General features: G+C 37.0%; 1 protein-coding gene and 1 long non-coding RNA gene across 64 annotated transcripts in view; one reads left to right on the top strand and one right to left on the bottom strand.

Moving 5' to 3' along the window:
• Positions 1 to 14,261, top strand: part of EIF4G3 (eukaryotic translation initiation factor 4 gamma 3) — a 370,606-nt gene that overhangs the window by 258,932 nt on the left and 97,413 nt on the right. For all 62 annotated transcript variants that reach the window (XM_047433321.1, XM_047433366.1, XM_047433324.1 and 59 more), the window contains one exon: positions 12,995 to 13,083. In XM_047433321.1, coding sequence (XP_047289277.1) covers positions 12,995 to 13,083 — 89 coding nt within the window. The remainder of the gene's footprint in view (positions 1 to 12,994; positions 13,084 to 14,261) is intronic.
• The window catches only part of LOC105376830 (uncharacterized), a 15,569-nt gene extending 1,308 nt beyond the window's left edge, over positions 1 to 14,261 (bottom strand). For both annotated transcript variants that reach the window (XR_947042.1, XR_947041.1), the window contains exons 1-5: positions 14,206 to 14,261; positions 11,773 to 11,831; positions 8,571 to 8,649; positions 5,021 to 5,091; positions 1,155 to 1,380 (exon numbers count right to left, since the gene is read on the bottom strand). This is a non-coding gene — a long non-coding RNA (uncharacterized LOC105376830). The remainder of the gene's footprint in view (positions 1 to 1,154; positions 1,381 to 5,020; positions 5,092 to 8,570; positions 8,650 to 11,772; positions 11,832 to 14,205) is intronic.

Raw genomic sequence — 14,261 nt, 5'->3', positions numbered from 1 at the left:
TATATTTACCTTTGTAAACGGAAAAATAACTATATATAATTTTAAAGCCTTGTAAAAACAGTATGTCATAGAAATGTTTTTATGTCAGTAAACATACATTATCGTATTTTGATAGTTGTGTAATAGATATATGGAAATGCTAATATTTTAGGTACTTCAGAAACCACCCAGAACACTTCAGTATTTCTATTGAGGTATAGTTGATGTAAGGTTAATGTACACATAAAATATTTGATCACTTTTAACAGGAACATGCTCTATATAAACGATAACTATAATCGTATTTATCACCCAAAATTTTTCTTATGCCTGTTTTGTAAATCCCTCCCTCCTGCACTACTACCCTCATCTTCATCGCCAGGCAAGCACTGATCTGTTTTTTGTCACTACAGATTAGTTTGCATTTTAGAAATCTTACGTAAATGAAAGCATAAACTGTTTTTTGTCTGGCTTCTTTCTGAGATAGGGTCTCACTCTGTTACCTAGGTTGGAATGCAGTGGCACGATCACAGCCCACTGCAGCCTTGACCTCCCAGGTTCAACACATCCTCCTGCCTCAGCCTCCCAAGTAGCTGGGACAACAGGCATGCACTACAATGTCTGGCTAATTTTTTGCTGTTTATTTGTTGTTGTTTGTAGAGACCGTTTCGCCATGTTGCCCAGGCTGATCTCAAACTCTGGGCTTAAGCAATCCACCTGCCTTGGCCTCCCAAAGTGATGGGATTAAAGGCATGAACCACCATGCCCAGCCTGACTGGCTTCTTTCATTCAGCATGTTTATATATGTTGTTGAGTATGTAAAGAGCTCATTTTTAAAAATTGCCGAGTATGGATTTGCCACAATTTGTCTGTTTGTTAACCTATTGATAGACATTTTGGCTGTTTCCAGTTTGGGGCTATTACAAATAAAGTTGCTGTGAGCACCTATGTACAAGTCTTTGTATGGACATAAGCTGTCATTTTTCTTGGGTGAATATGTATAGATGAAATGGCAGGGTTATATATAGGTGTATATTAATTTTTAAGAAATTGTAAGTCATTTTCCAAAGTACATTTGCCATTTTATATTCCCACCAGTAATGTCTGAAAATTTCAGGCTATCTTGTTTCTGCTAAATCTCCTTTGTACCACTTCTATAAATACGTTGTGCATACATAATGAGAGTCGATTGAATGGATTCTCTATTTTTTTCAATTGATCCGGTTGTCTTTTCTTGTTGCTCATACCACACGGTCGTGATAAAGAAGCTTTGTAATAAGTCTTAAAATCCGAGTATTAAGCCCTCCAACTTCATTCTTCTTTTTCAAAGTTGTTTTGGCCATTCTAGGTCCTTTGTTTTTCTAGATTCATTTTATAATCAGTTTTTTTCTATATTTTTTCCTGCAAAAAAAAGACAGTTGAAATTTGATTTGCATTGACACTGTAGACAGAATTGACATCTTGCAATATTGAGTCTTCTGACCCATGAACATGGTATATTTTGCTTTTGTTTTTTGTTTTTGTTTTTGTTTTTTTTTTTGAGACAGAGTCTCTCTCTATTGCTCAGGCTGGAGTGCAATGGCACGATCTCGGCTCACTGCAACCTCCGCCTCCCGGGTTCATGCCATTCTCCTGCCTCAGCCTCCCGAGTAGCTGGGACTACAGGTGTCCACCACCACGCCCGGGCTAATTTTTTGTATTTTTAGTAGAGATGGGGTTTCACCGTGTTAGCCGGGATGGTCTCGATCTCCTGACCTCGTGATCCGCCTGCCTCGGCCTCCCAGAGGCATTTTTTAAAGTATTCTTTAATTCTCTAAATAATGGTTTGGAGTTTCTAGTGTATAGGTTTTTTGTATCTTTTGTCAAATTTATATCTTTAGATGCTTGTGTACATGGTATTTTTTATTTCAATTTTTGTTACTAGTATATGGAAATACAATATATAATAGATTTTTATATATCAGTTTCATGTCCTGCAACCTTGCTAAGTATACTTCCTAGTCTTGTTAGCTGTTTCATAGAGATTCCTTTGGATTTTTCTATATGGATAATCATCTTGTTTGAACAAAGACAAATTTACTTCATTTCCAGCTGGATGCACCCTTTATTTCTCTTGACTTACTGCACTAGCTGGAACCTTCAATACAATGTTGAATAGAAGTGGTAAAAGTAAACATTGTCTTGTTCTGATCTCAGGGAGAAATCATTCAATCTTTTACCGTTAAGTATGATGTTAACTGTCAGTTTCTTATTATCTAGATGAGGAATTTCGTTTTTATTTCTAGATTGCTGAGAAATTATTTTAGTCAAGAATATAAATTGGATTTTATCAATTGCTTTTCCTACATTTGTTAGTAAATCATATGGTTTTTTTTGTTTATTAACTGCTTATTTGAAAATATTTGACATTTGAATATTAAACCAACCTGCTTCCCTGGGATAAAACTTGGCCATCACATTTTTTTTCTTTTTCTGTATTGTTCAATTTTACTTGCTAAAATTTTATTTAGTGTTTTTTTTTTCGGGGGCGGAGGGTTTGTATTTAAATTTATAAGGGATGTTCGCCTGTAGTTTTCTGGTGATTGTCATGTTTAGGTATCTGGGTAACGACGCAGACCTCAAATGATGAGTTAGTGAGTTTTCTCCTTCAATATTCTGGGAAAGTTGGTGTAAAATTGATATTGTTTCTTCCTCAAGTATTTGCAAAGAATCCAAACAGTCTCTAACAGATAAAAAAGACAAGGAAATAGATTCTTCCACAGAGCCTCCAGAGGAGTCACAGACCTGATGATATCTTCTTGCTTTTTGGCCCAGTGACACCATGAAAACAATATGACCCATGATGAGGAGAAAACAAATCGATTGAAACTCACAACTGACATGCTTAGAATTAGCAGACAAAATCATTAGAGGGTTATTAGATACGGTTGCTATAACTGTATTTCACATATTCAAAAAGTAGAGATAAGGAATCGACATAACTGGAAAACACAGAATTGGTAGAACCAGTAAACAGAAAACTAGTAAGGACCTAGGAGCTGGAATAGCATAGTCAGCCAACTTGATTTAATTGACTAAACATTCAAACAGTAGATACACATTCTTTTCAAATACAAATTGAAGATTTACCAAGATAGACCATATTGTGGTTCCAGAAACGAGGCTTAATAACTTTAAAAGGATTCAAGTTGGAAATCAGTGAGAAAAATATCTCTGGAAAATCCCCCATATGTTTAGAAACTAACACACTTTTAAATAACGCAGAGGTCAAAGAAGAAATCAGAAATTATAAAATATTTTGAACCGAATGAAAATGAAAACCCACCCATTTTCTATTTTCTATTGCTGTTGTAATCACCACAAACATAATGGCTTAAACAATACACATTAATTATCTTACAGTTTTGGATGTCAGAAGTCCAAAATGGGTTTCATTTGGGCCAAAAATCAAGGTGTCATCAGGTCTGTGACTCCTCTGGAGGCTCTGTGGAAGAGTCTATTCCTTTGTCTTTTTTATCTGTTAGAGACTGCTTACATTCTTTGGCTGTGTCCCCTTCCTCCATCTTCAAAGCCAGCAACACAGCATCTTCAAATCTCTCTGTGTTTCTCCTACCTCCCTCTTTTGCTTGTAATGAGCCTTTCGATTACATTGGATCCACTGGGTTAATCTAGGATAATAGTCTCCTCATCACAAGATCCTTTATTATCACATTTGTAAAGTCAGTTTTGCCAGGTAGGGCTACGTATTCACAAGGTTAAAAGCATTAAGACATTGGCATCTTTGGTGTGGTCCATTATTCTGCCTACCACACTGCTAAAGCAGTACATAGATGGAAATTTACATCACTAACCGCAACTGTTAGAAAAGAAAAAAAAAAAGGCAGGGCGTGGTGGCTCATGCCTGTAATCCCAGCACTTTGGGAGGCCGAGGCGGGCAGATCACGAGGTCAGGAGATCGAGACCATCCTGGCTAACACGGTGAAACCCCGTCTCTACTAAAAATACAAAAAAAATTATCCAGGCGTGGCGGCATGCGCCTGTAGTCCCAGCTGCTGAGGAGGCTGAAGCAGGAGAATGGCGTGAACCCGGGAGGCGGAGCTTGCAGTGAGCCGAGATCGCACCACTGCACTCCAGGCTGGGTGACAGAGCAAGACTCCGTCTCAAAAAAAAAAAAAAAAAAAAAAAATTCTAATAATTGACCTCAACTTTCATCTTAAGAAATTATTAAAAGAAGAACAAACACAGAAAAAGTAGAAGAAAGGAAATAATACAGATAGGAAACAAATGTAACAAATAACAAGAAAACAGGGAAAAAATTTATAAAACCAAAAGGTGGTTATTGAGGATATAAATAAAATTACTAAACCTGGATTTGACTTTTACTTTGATATTTAACATGAAAGCTAGAAGTAAAACAATTTAAATTGTGTTATAGATATCTGGCTTCGTTGTTTTTAGAGACAGGTTCTTGCTCTGTCACACAGGGTGGGGTACAGTAATACGATCATATAACCATCAACCCTTGGGCTCAAGCAATCCTCCTGCCTCAGCCTCCTAAGCAGCTAGGACTAAAGACACATGCCACCACACCCAGCTAATTAAAAAAATTTTTTTTGTAGAGATGGTGTCTCACTATGTTGCTCAGGCTAGTCTTGGAACTCCTGGCCTCAAGCAATTCACTCACCTTGTCCTCCCCAAGTGAAATGGCTGTTTTTGATAGAATTTAAGTCTAGTTTCCTCATTTTATTATACTGTTTTGTTTCTAGTGCTAGGACCTCACCAAACTAACTCATGTAATTCAAGCTCTTTGTGAAGTAGTGATAGAGCAGAAAGATTTTGTCATACCATGGGAAGCCTAATTACCAAGTCAACATACATTTCAAATAACGACCTCTGAGAAGATGCGGAAAAACACTAGACCTAACTCTCAAGTGTTTCTTTTGGTTGCCATCTCTCAGTGGCCCATCATTCTTACATATTTCATCGCCATTGTTATTCTTTTCAGGTCATTACATCTTCATTGTAAAATTTATCCTCTCACCTGGGTTTCTTCTTTGTGCCACCTTAGTTTCTTAGATAAATCATCATATTTTCCTAGATTCCCATGAAGATCTGTGAAAGGAAAAGAGGTGGTGATTTGGGACAGAATAGGATTCACAGCCTATAGGAACTCTAGAGGGACAAAGTTCTTGCATATTATCTAATCAGAATGATTTAGTGCCAACTTGTAGATCTCAAAACTTGGAAAAAAGTAAAAATTGTCAAAATATATCAAGAATGGATGAGAAGGGATTAAAACCAGGTGATAAGGATGGGAACTCTCACTGAAAGTTCCATTATTAGAACATTCTACTTTGTTTATGCACAACTCTGTGGCAATGCACCGGGGCTGTTCCCTGAGCATTAGTGAAGTGTCTATAGTTGGAAAGTCTTCGCAGTCTCAGTTTTGTGTCACTTCAATCTAAGAGACCCAGACTCTGGACACATTAATTTCAAACCTTGGAACTAGGGAGTTTATGTTGTATTCCAAAAGCATGTGGAGCTACAAGGGAGACTTTTTTGTAATTCAGAGTCTCTTACTTAGCCGTTATGTGGCCACAAGATCTTCAGCTAATCTGCACAATTCAGGCGCTTCAGGCCAACCCAGAAAATTATCTCCACAAATGTAGAAAATAAAACAGCTTTATTAATTTTTTAAAAATTTTATCTTGAGACCAAGTCTCACTCTTTCACCCAGGCTAAAGTGCAGTGGTGTGATCACAGCTCACTGCAGCCTCAATGTCCCAGGCTTGGGCAATCTTCTTGCCTCAGCCTCCTGAGTAGCTTGGACCACAGGTGCATGACACTATACCTGGCTAATTTTTTAATTATTCTGTAGAGATGGGGTCTCCCTGTGTTGCCCAGGCTGGTCTTGAACTCCTAGGCTCAAGCAGTGCTCCAATCTTGACCTCATGGTGGCATGAGCCACCATACCTGGCCTTATTTTTTTAGAGACAGAGCCTCACTCTGTCATCCAGGCTGGAGTGCAGTATATTTTATTTTTATTTTATTTTTTTAAGTGACAGAGTCTAGCTATCTATATTTATATTTATATAAGGGGTAGAGGAAGTGTTTGCAATTAACCACAGGTGTTCTTTAGCTAAAGATCTAAGAAAAGGGAGAGAGAAAGGAAATAAAAGGAAAATAAAGATCTCTTTATTATACCAAGGAAATAGAAAAAATGTTAAACTCTTACAACTTACTTGGATGACTACCTGATTAATAAATAAGTTAGTAAAGAGAAGCAATATTAAGTTTATCTAAAAATTGCTGTCAGATTTATATTGTTGCATAGCTAATAGTAGGATACTCTGGGATTAAAGATTTACCTGTCTTATGTAGTTAGCGCTTTTACATTCTTTTTTTTTTTTTTTTTTTTTTTTTTTTGAGGCAGGGTCTCAGTCTGTTACCCAGGCTAGAGTACAGTGGCACGGTCATAGCTCCCTGCAACTCCAACTCCTGGGCTCAAGTGATCCACCTACTTTAGCCTCCTGAGAAGCTGGGATGACAAGCTTGTACCCCGTGCCTGGCTAATTTTTTAATTTTTTGTAGAGGTCTCACTTTTTTGCCTAGGCTGGTCTTGAACTCCTGGCCTCAAGCAGTCTTCCCTCCTCAGCCTCCAAAAGTGTTGGGATTACAGGCATGAGCCACTGCTCTCAACCTCTTTTACATTCTTTTAACCTACGTGGAATGATGCTATTTTTGGTTTTTCGTTTTTTCGGGTATAAAATGAGTACTCTCTATGAACTCCGTAAGTTCTCCAGATCCTCTGGAGATCAGAATCATACACAAAATTGTAATGTGCCCAGTAAAATTAACTGTTTTAAGAATGTGTTCCAATAGTATTTTTATAAAGAGCAATCTATCCTACAATCTATAACAAGACTAAAGTGGATTAGTCATACAGGATAAAACAGAATTTGAAATAGTGAATGAAAATCAACTTTAAAAGTTTTACTTTTTTATTTCTCCCAATTTAAAATTATCATTACAAGCATTGAAGAACAAAGAGAAACCACTTATTGTTCAAGTATGTAGCCTGCATATTAGCGTTAAACTTTTCTTTGTTTCCTTCCAGTTTTTACATAAATATTTTACATGATTATAAATGAAGTGTAGGTATAATTTTGTGTTTTTTACCCTTTTCTGTTTTTTAACCTTAACCTACTCTCTAAAAATCCCATTTAGTCTCATTAGCCTGAATCCAAATCCTTGCTACTAGAAGTGGCTCATAAAAATCTGTGCTGTGATTTGCCTGTTGACAGTAGATGTGAAACTTGACCAGTTTAATTTTATCCTTATGTGGATTTTCTAAAGATAATCAAGAAGGTTTTTGTTTTGTTTTGTTTTTGTTTTTGTTTTTTTGAGTCGGAGTCTCACACTGTCGCCCAGGCTGAGTGCAGTGGCATAATCTTGGCTCACTGCAACCTCCACCTCCCAGGTTCAAGTGATTCTCCTACCTCAGCCTCCTGAGTAGCTGGGATTACGGGGGCCTGCCACCACGCCTGGCTAATTTTTGTATTTTTAGTAGAGATGGGATTTCACTATGTTGGCCAGGCTGGTCTTGAACTCCTGACCTTGTGATCTGCCCACCTTGGCATCCCAAAGTGCTGGGATTCCAGGCGGGAGCCACCATGCCCAGCCAAGAAGGTTTTTTTAGTTCCTATTTACTTTTGAATAAAATGTCTTAATTTTTAGAATCATGTACATTTAGCTCTTTTATAGTTCTTCACTGCCTATTCATCTTTTTAGAATCTTTTTTAATTTTAATTGTCTCCCTATTAATTGATTGCTTTCAAATTATCCTGCTACGTAGCACTAATTACGAGCTTTTAACCACTTAATCAAAATTTAGCAGATTGGGTCAAGTGTGGCAGTGGCTCACTCCTGTAATCCCAGCACTTTGGGAGGCCAAGTCAGGAGGATCACTTGAGCCCAGGAGTTTCAGACTAGCCTGGACAACATGGTAAGAGACCATTTCTACAAAACATTAAAAAAATTAGCCGGGCATGGTTGCGGGTACCTGTGGTCCCAGCTACTGGGGAGGCTGAGGTGGGAGAATCACTTGGGCCCAGGAGTCTGGGGCTACAGTGAGCCAAGTTCATGCCACTGTACTCCAGCCTGGGCAACAAAGGAAGACCATGTCTCCAAAAAAAAAAAAAAAAAAAATTAGCAGATTGACTATATAAGAATTTTAACAGAGTTAATTTGTTGTTAGGACAGTCCCAAAGACCAAAACTATAAAGCTTAAATTCTTGTTTGAAGTTTTGTGGGGGAAAAAAACAAAAACAAACAAACAAAAAAAACAGTATAAAACTAAATAGGTGATGTGCCTATAATTATGCTTTTTAAATCTCGGAAATAAAATAACCCAAAATGTTTACAATGTCTCAAAAGATAACACATAGGTGTTTTTTTTAACTTTATATCTGTCTATACTTTATAAGTGCTCTTCAATGGGTGTATCTTTTTATGATTAGAATAAATAAATAATCTAGATAAAGGGAGATTATGCCAGTGATAGCAGTAACGTTTGTCATTCTTGTACTTACTGTGTAACATTTCTGAGTCAGGATTTTAGACTAAAAACCATGACTTAACTATTAGCAGTTTCTTTAAGAGCTGATATTTCTGCAAAGAAAAAGAGAGTGCATGTTCTAGATCATGTGTCTACACAGAATAGTTCCTCAGGATGCATTATATCCCTGTCTCTTAACTACTCTTGACTCTGCTATCCCTTTAAGACGTACAACAATTTTACATAAAAGTTTTTCTCCATATTCTTTTTTTTTTTTTGAAATGGAGTCTTGCTCGATCGCCCAGGCTGGAGTGCAGTGGCGTGATCTCTGCTCACTACAACCTCCATCTCCCAGGTTCAAGCGATTCTCCTGCCTCAGCCTCCCGAGTAGCTGGGATTACAGGCACATGCCACCATGCCTGGCTAATTTTTGTATTTTTAGTAGAGGCACGGTTTCACCATGTGTTGGCCAGGCTGGTCTCGAACTCTTGACCTCAAGTGATCTGCCTGCCTTGGCCTCCCAAAGTGCTGGGAATACAGACGTGAGCCACTGCGCCCAGCCTCCATATTCTAACTACCTCAGACTTCAGGGAAAACTATTTTTAAAAACACATGTGGGTTTTATAAAAACCGGTAAGTTTATGAAACTTTTACATTAGCCCTAGCCCTCAGTCTCCAAGTCCAGTGTTTATCTCTTAGGTTGTATAGGGATAGTTGTTAGGTCTTAATTTGCAGGAGTAACAATTTGAATCCAGTTAAGCCCACATAAAAAGTAAATGAAAAACTAAGAGACTCTTCCATTTATGGGGATGACTTGTATTACATCCTACAGATACCAGAAAAATGTTACTGTAAGGTGCGCTCTTTTTGAAATCTTAAGATGAAGTCCTTTCCAGTTACAGAATTTTTGATGTAACACATCAAAAATTGTTTCCCTCCAATTAACTGTAGGAACAGTAAACTGTAGCACAGTTTTAAAACTTACATAGAGAGAAGACAGAGAATCTCCCTAAAGCCCAATGATTAAACATGTCTGTTAATTTGTCCATTAGACGTTTTACAAAACAGCTCTGAAGAAAAACATTTTGTTCCAATAGCATAAAAATTTGCAAAAATCAACCTACTCATCTGACAAAGGGCTAATATCCAGAATCTACAATGAACTCAAACAAATTTACAAGAAAAAAACAACCCCATCAAAAAGTGGGCAAAGGATATGAACAGACACTTCTCAAAAGAAGACATTTATGCAGCCAAAAAACACATGAAAAAATGCTCATCATCACTGGCCATCAGAGAAATGCAAATCAAAACCACAATGAGATACTATCTCACACCAGTTAGAATGGCGATCATTAAAAAGTCAGGAAACAACAGGTGCTGGAGAGGATGTGGAGAAATAGGAACACTTTTACACTGTTGGTGGGACTGTAAACTAGTTCAACCATTGTGGAAGTCAGTGTGGCGATTCCTCAGGGATCTAGAACTGGAAATACCATTTGACCCAGCCATCCCATTACTGGGTATATACCCAAAGGATTATAAATCATGCTGCTATAAAGACACATGCACATGTATGTTTATAGCAGCACTATTCACAATAGCAAAGACTTGGAACCAACCTAAATGTCCAACAATGATAGACTGGATTAAGAAAATGTGGCACATATACACCATGGAATACTATGCAGCCATAAAAAATGATGAGTTCATGTCCTTTGTAGGGACATGGATGAAACTGGAAACCATCATTCTCAGCAAAATATCGCAAGGACAAAGAAAACCAAACACCACATGTTCTCACTCATAGGTGGGAATTGAACAGTGAGAACATATGGACACAGGAAGGGGAACATCACACACCGGGGACTGTTGTGGGGTTGGGGGAGGGGGGAGGGATAGCATTAGGAGATATACCTAATGCTAAATGACGAGTTAATGGGTGCAGCACACCAACATGGCACATGTATACATATGTAGCAAACCTGCAGGTTGTGCACATGTACCCTAAAACTTAAAGTATAATAATAATAAAATTTAAAAAAAAATTTGCAAAAATCTGGAAATCAGCATTACCTTTTTGTATTTTTGTTTTTATTCATATTTTAATGTAGTTGAAATTAAATGTGTCTGTAAGAGTTTAGTTCTTAGGTGGGGGAGTCCAGGTAATTATGAATCCTATGCAGAGACTGTCGCTTGTCCTGTCATGCTTTAATACAAGACAAGGAGGAAACAATCTATGTCTTTGCCTTGGGAAGTTTAATAATACTGCCTTTGCCTAGAACTGCTATTATTTGTTCAGTCAACAAATTCGAGTGCCCTCCCTGTGCAATGAACTAGAAAGTAAAGAACGAATCTAAGACAGTATCTTAAATTTAATTCCCCCATTCTAGTTTAATCAGTGTTAATTATCATGAAAATCTGTGTCACTCTCTGTCTTCCCTCTCCCTTTTTCTTCCTGACTGCTTCCCTTCTACTCCCTTTTCTCCCCCTTCATTCCTCAGCACACCCAAATTTTACTGCACCTTTCTATCAGTAATTGTAGGAGAAGGGATATATGCCCCAACCTCACTGGGCATTAGGGGTGTGTGTGTGTTTGTGTGTGTGTGTGTGTGTGTATCCAGTTTTTTTTAAGGACTAAGTGTCTCCTAAAGAAGTCTGTGCTCTTTCTGTCCCTCTTTTTCTGAATTATTGTTTTAAATCAAGACTTTAAATAGCCACTTAAACAAGATGAGTAACAATTCTCACTGGCTCAGTAGCTGTTTTTTTTCCAAGTATGTTAAATATGTTATATTACTGAAGGAAGAAATATTTTGTTTCATGTTTTGGGGTTGAGTATATTTGATATATTTGTGGAAAGAAAAGTTTATCTTTGTTTTTTGTTGTTTAGAGGAAGTTCCTTTTGAGCTTATATTTGAGCCCCAAAAATCCTCCAAAAAATTGTTCTTCCTCTTTTCCATGAATGAGATTTAGAGCTAAATTCATACAAATGCAAAACAAAATAAAATTACAGATTCTCTGAACTCTATAACTCCTAAAAAGATTCAGCTATGGAAGCAGAGTTGAAAATCACAAGAATTTTGGAGGAAATGCATTAAACAGACTGGTTATATCAAATCAGAAGATCCACAAAAAATGCAAAGAGACAACTGCTGAATATATGTATTCAGTAGAAGCCTGTGAGACAATAGCAAATTTAAACCCACCCATGGTTTCCATCCTTTGAAAAAATTTACCTTGAGTAGGACACAAAGGAAGAATGTCAGCTGGTCTATTAGTGTTTCCTTAATGGTTCCTGAGGGGAAGAAAAAAGAATAATTGGTGTGAGATGTGTATAACAAAGAAGACATGCAGAGTATTTTTTAAGATGGTACAGTAATTTTGAGGAAAAAAATTAATATTAAACGTCTCCTTTTTCTTGTTCCCCCAAAAAGTGTGTGTTCCACCAAAAAGTGTGTGTGCACGTTCTACTGTCATACCAAAAAAGATGAGACTGTCCCAGAGTCTCAGTGAATTATCTTATATTTCTGTAGGGAATCAGATTAGATGATACCCTTTAGCTTTGTGTTTATTTGCTTTTGGTAATGTTCCCTATTAAGTGGCCTTTCTTTAACTCTTCTCCTTGTTCATCCTTCTATAGTACCTCACTCTTGTCTATTGATTCATAAGTTGCCCTCTGTAGAAGCAGTTTAATATCATCAGCTTACTATCTGATGGTTAAAATGTCTTTCACTTATACACCCATGATTCTGTGGAATTTGTAAGCCAGATGAATTTTTTAAAGCCCTTTGTAAACTTAATCCTTTAATCTAGAAATCTGAAACAATGGAATAATTCAGTAAAAATTATCTATTTTCTTAGTTTTCACTCTATCAATATGAAAGGCTAGGCAAACAGTCCTGATCTGAGATGAAAACAGAATGTTTCAGAAATGCTGCCTATCTAATGAAACCTTAATTGAAGTATCCTTTTGTTGTCTAGAAAACTTAAAAATAACAGAATCCTGAGCGTATTATTTTTTATTGCTTGAAGTAACTTTAGATATCTAGTCTCACTCTTATACTTTATAGCTGAGTAATGTAGGGGCCTGAGACCTGTGACTTGCTTAAGTTCACATAGTTGATGAATAGAAGTAGACCCAGGTCTAGAACTGAATCACAAGTCAGTTTTCTTATGTATGTACTCATCACATGTTGAATTACATGCTGGGATATTTCTAACCATGAAATGGGAAGAACGCAGGCCACTGGTTAGAAAGCTACGAGTTTGTACCCACAACACTTGATGTTGCAATCTCTGGGCTACTACACAATTGTTCACTTGATCAGCCAACTATTTGTTTGGTATAGGTAAAGTTCTCTTTTATCCTGCTTAATTTGAATATAGGTATCACTTAGACCTAATATTTCTCAGAATGACTTTGCAGTGGCAAGTAATGGGCCTGATCTTGTATTTCAGCTCAAATAGCTATAACTGTACCAAAGACATGGAAGAAACCAAAAGATCGGACCCGAACCACTGAAGAGATGTTAGAGGCAGAATTGGAGGTAAGCAAATCTCTTAAGTTCATATTCAGAGCAGTGGTGCCATTTCATAGACAGGTATGTGTTTATACCTATTTATTGAAATAGTTTTCCAAGCAAAACTTAATATATCAAGCTCAGAGACTAATTGTTTTAAGTCCATTTTATATTAGAATTTTAAAAAGATTTTTAGTAACATGTTTGATTTCATTGAATACTTATTTTTCTTTCAAAATACCTCTTTTAAAATAACAAACTTGGCCAGGCACAGTGGCTAACAACTGTAATCCCAGCACTTTGTGAGGTGAAGGCAGGATGATCACTGCAACCCAGGAGTTTGAGACCACCTGGGCAACATAAGGAGACCCTGACTGTACAAAAATGTTTTAAAATACTAGCCACACATGGTGGCGCATACCTGTGGTCCCAGCTACTCGGGAGGCTCAGGTGGGAGGATTGCTTGAGCCCTGGAGGTGGAGGCTGCAGTGAGATGTGATCATGCCACTGCACTCCAGCCTGGGCAACACAGTGAAACATTATCTCAAATAAATAAATAAAATGACAATTTTTGGTTAACCTTCCTCTTCCCCCAACTAGAACTTTTGTTTGTATTAACTGGATAGAAAGATAATCTGGTAAACAAAAATGGAGAGTTTTTAAAAATACCATTAGTAATGGTGGTAGAATTCATCTAGTACATTATAAAGGAATTGATTTTGAATCTGTCATCTGTTAACTGCATCCCAGAAACATAACTTTTCTTCATATGGTTGTCTGTCTTAAAATAAGCCATGCGAGATTTTGCTTCAGATTAAAACATACCAAGTCCAAGAGATGAATGTGAGGAAGAAAAAGGACAAATCAGTCCTAAGGATTACTCTAACAATTTCCTTGTCTGTAATCTCAACATCCTTAGCATTATGTATTGAAGCTTATAAATGAAGAGCAATGTAAATCTGTATGTAGCTTTTTCCCTTTTTTTGACTATTCTTTTAGCTACTTTATTAAAATAATTTTACTCAAGGTTTAACATGATAAAATTAAAATTTTACTCAAGGTTTAACATGATAAAATATAAAAATTATCTTAAGATAACTTTGAGTGTGTTTACTTCATTCGGCTTTTTTAGCAAGTTATAATTCTTACCTTCTTTGGGTATCTAACAGTACCCCTTGGTTACCTCCCCTGTGCCTTCATTGCTG

Source organism: Homo sapiens, chromosome 1 (genome assembly GCF_000001405.40).
Source record: "Homo sapiens chromosome 1, GRCh38.p14 Primary Assembly".
NCBI lineage: Eukaryota > Metazoa > Chordata > Mammalia > Primates > Hominidae > Homo > Homo sapiens.
This window is presented reverse-complemented; position numbering and strand designations above follow the sequence as displayed.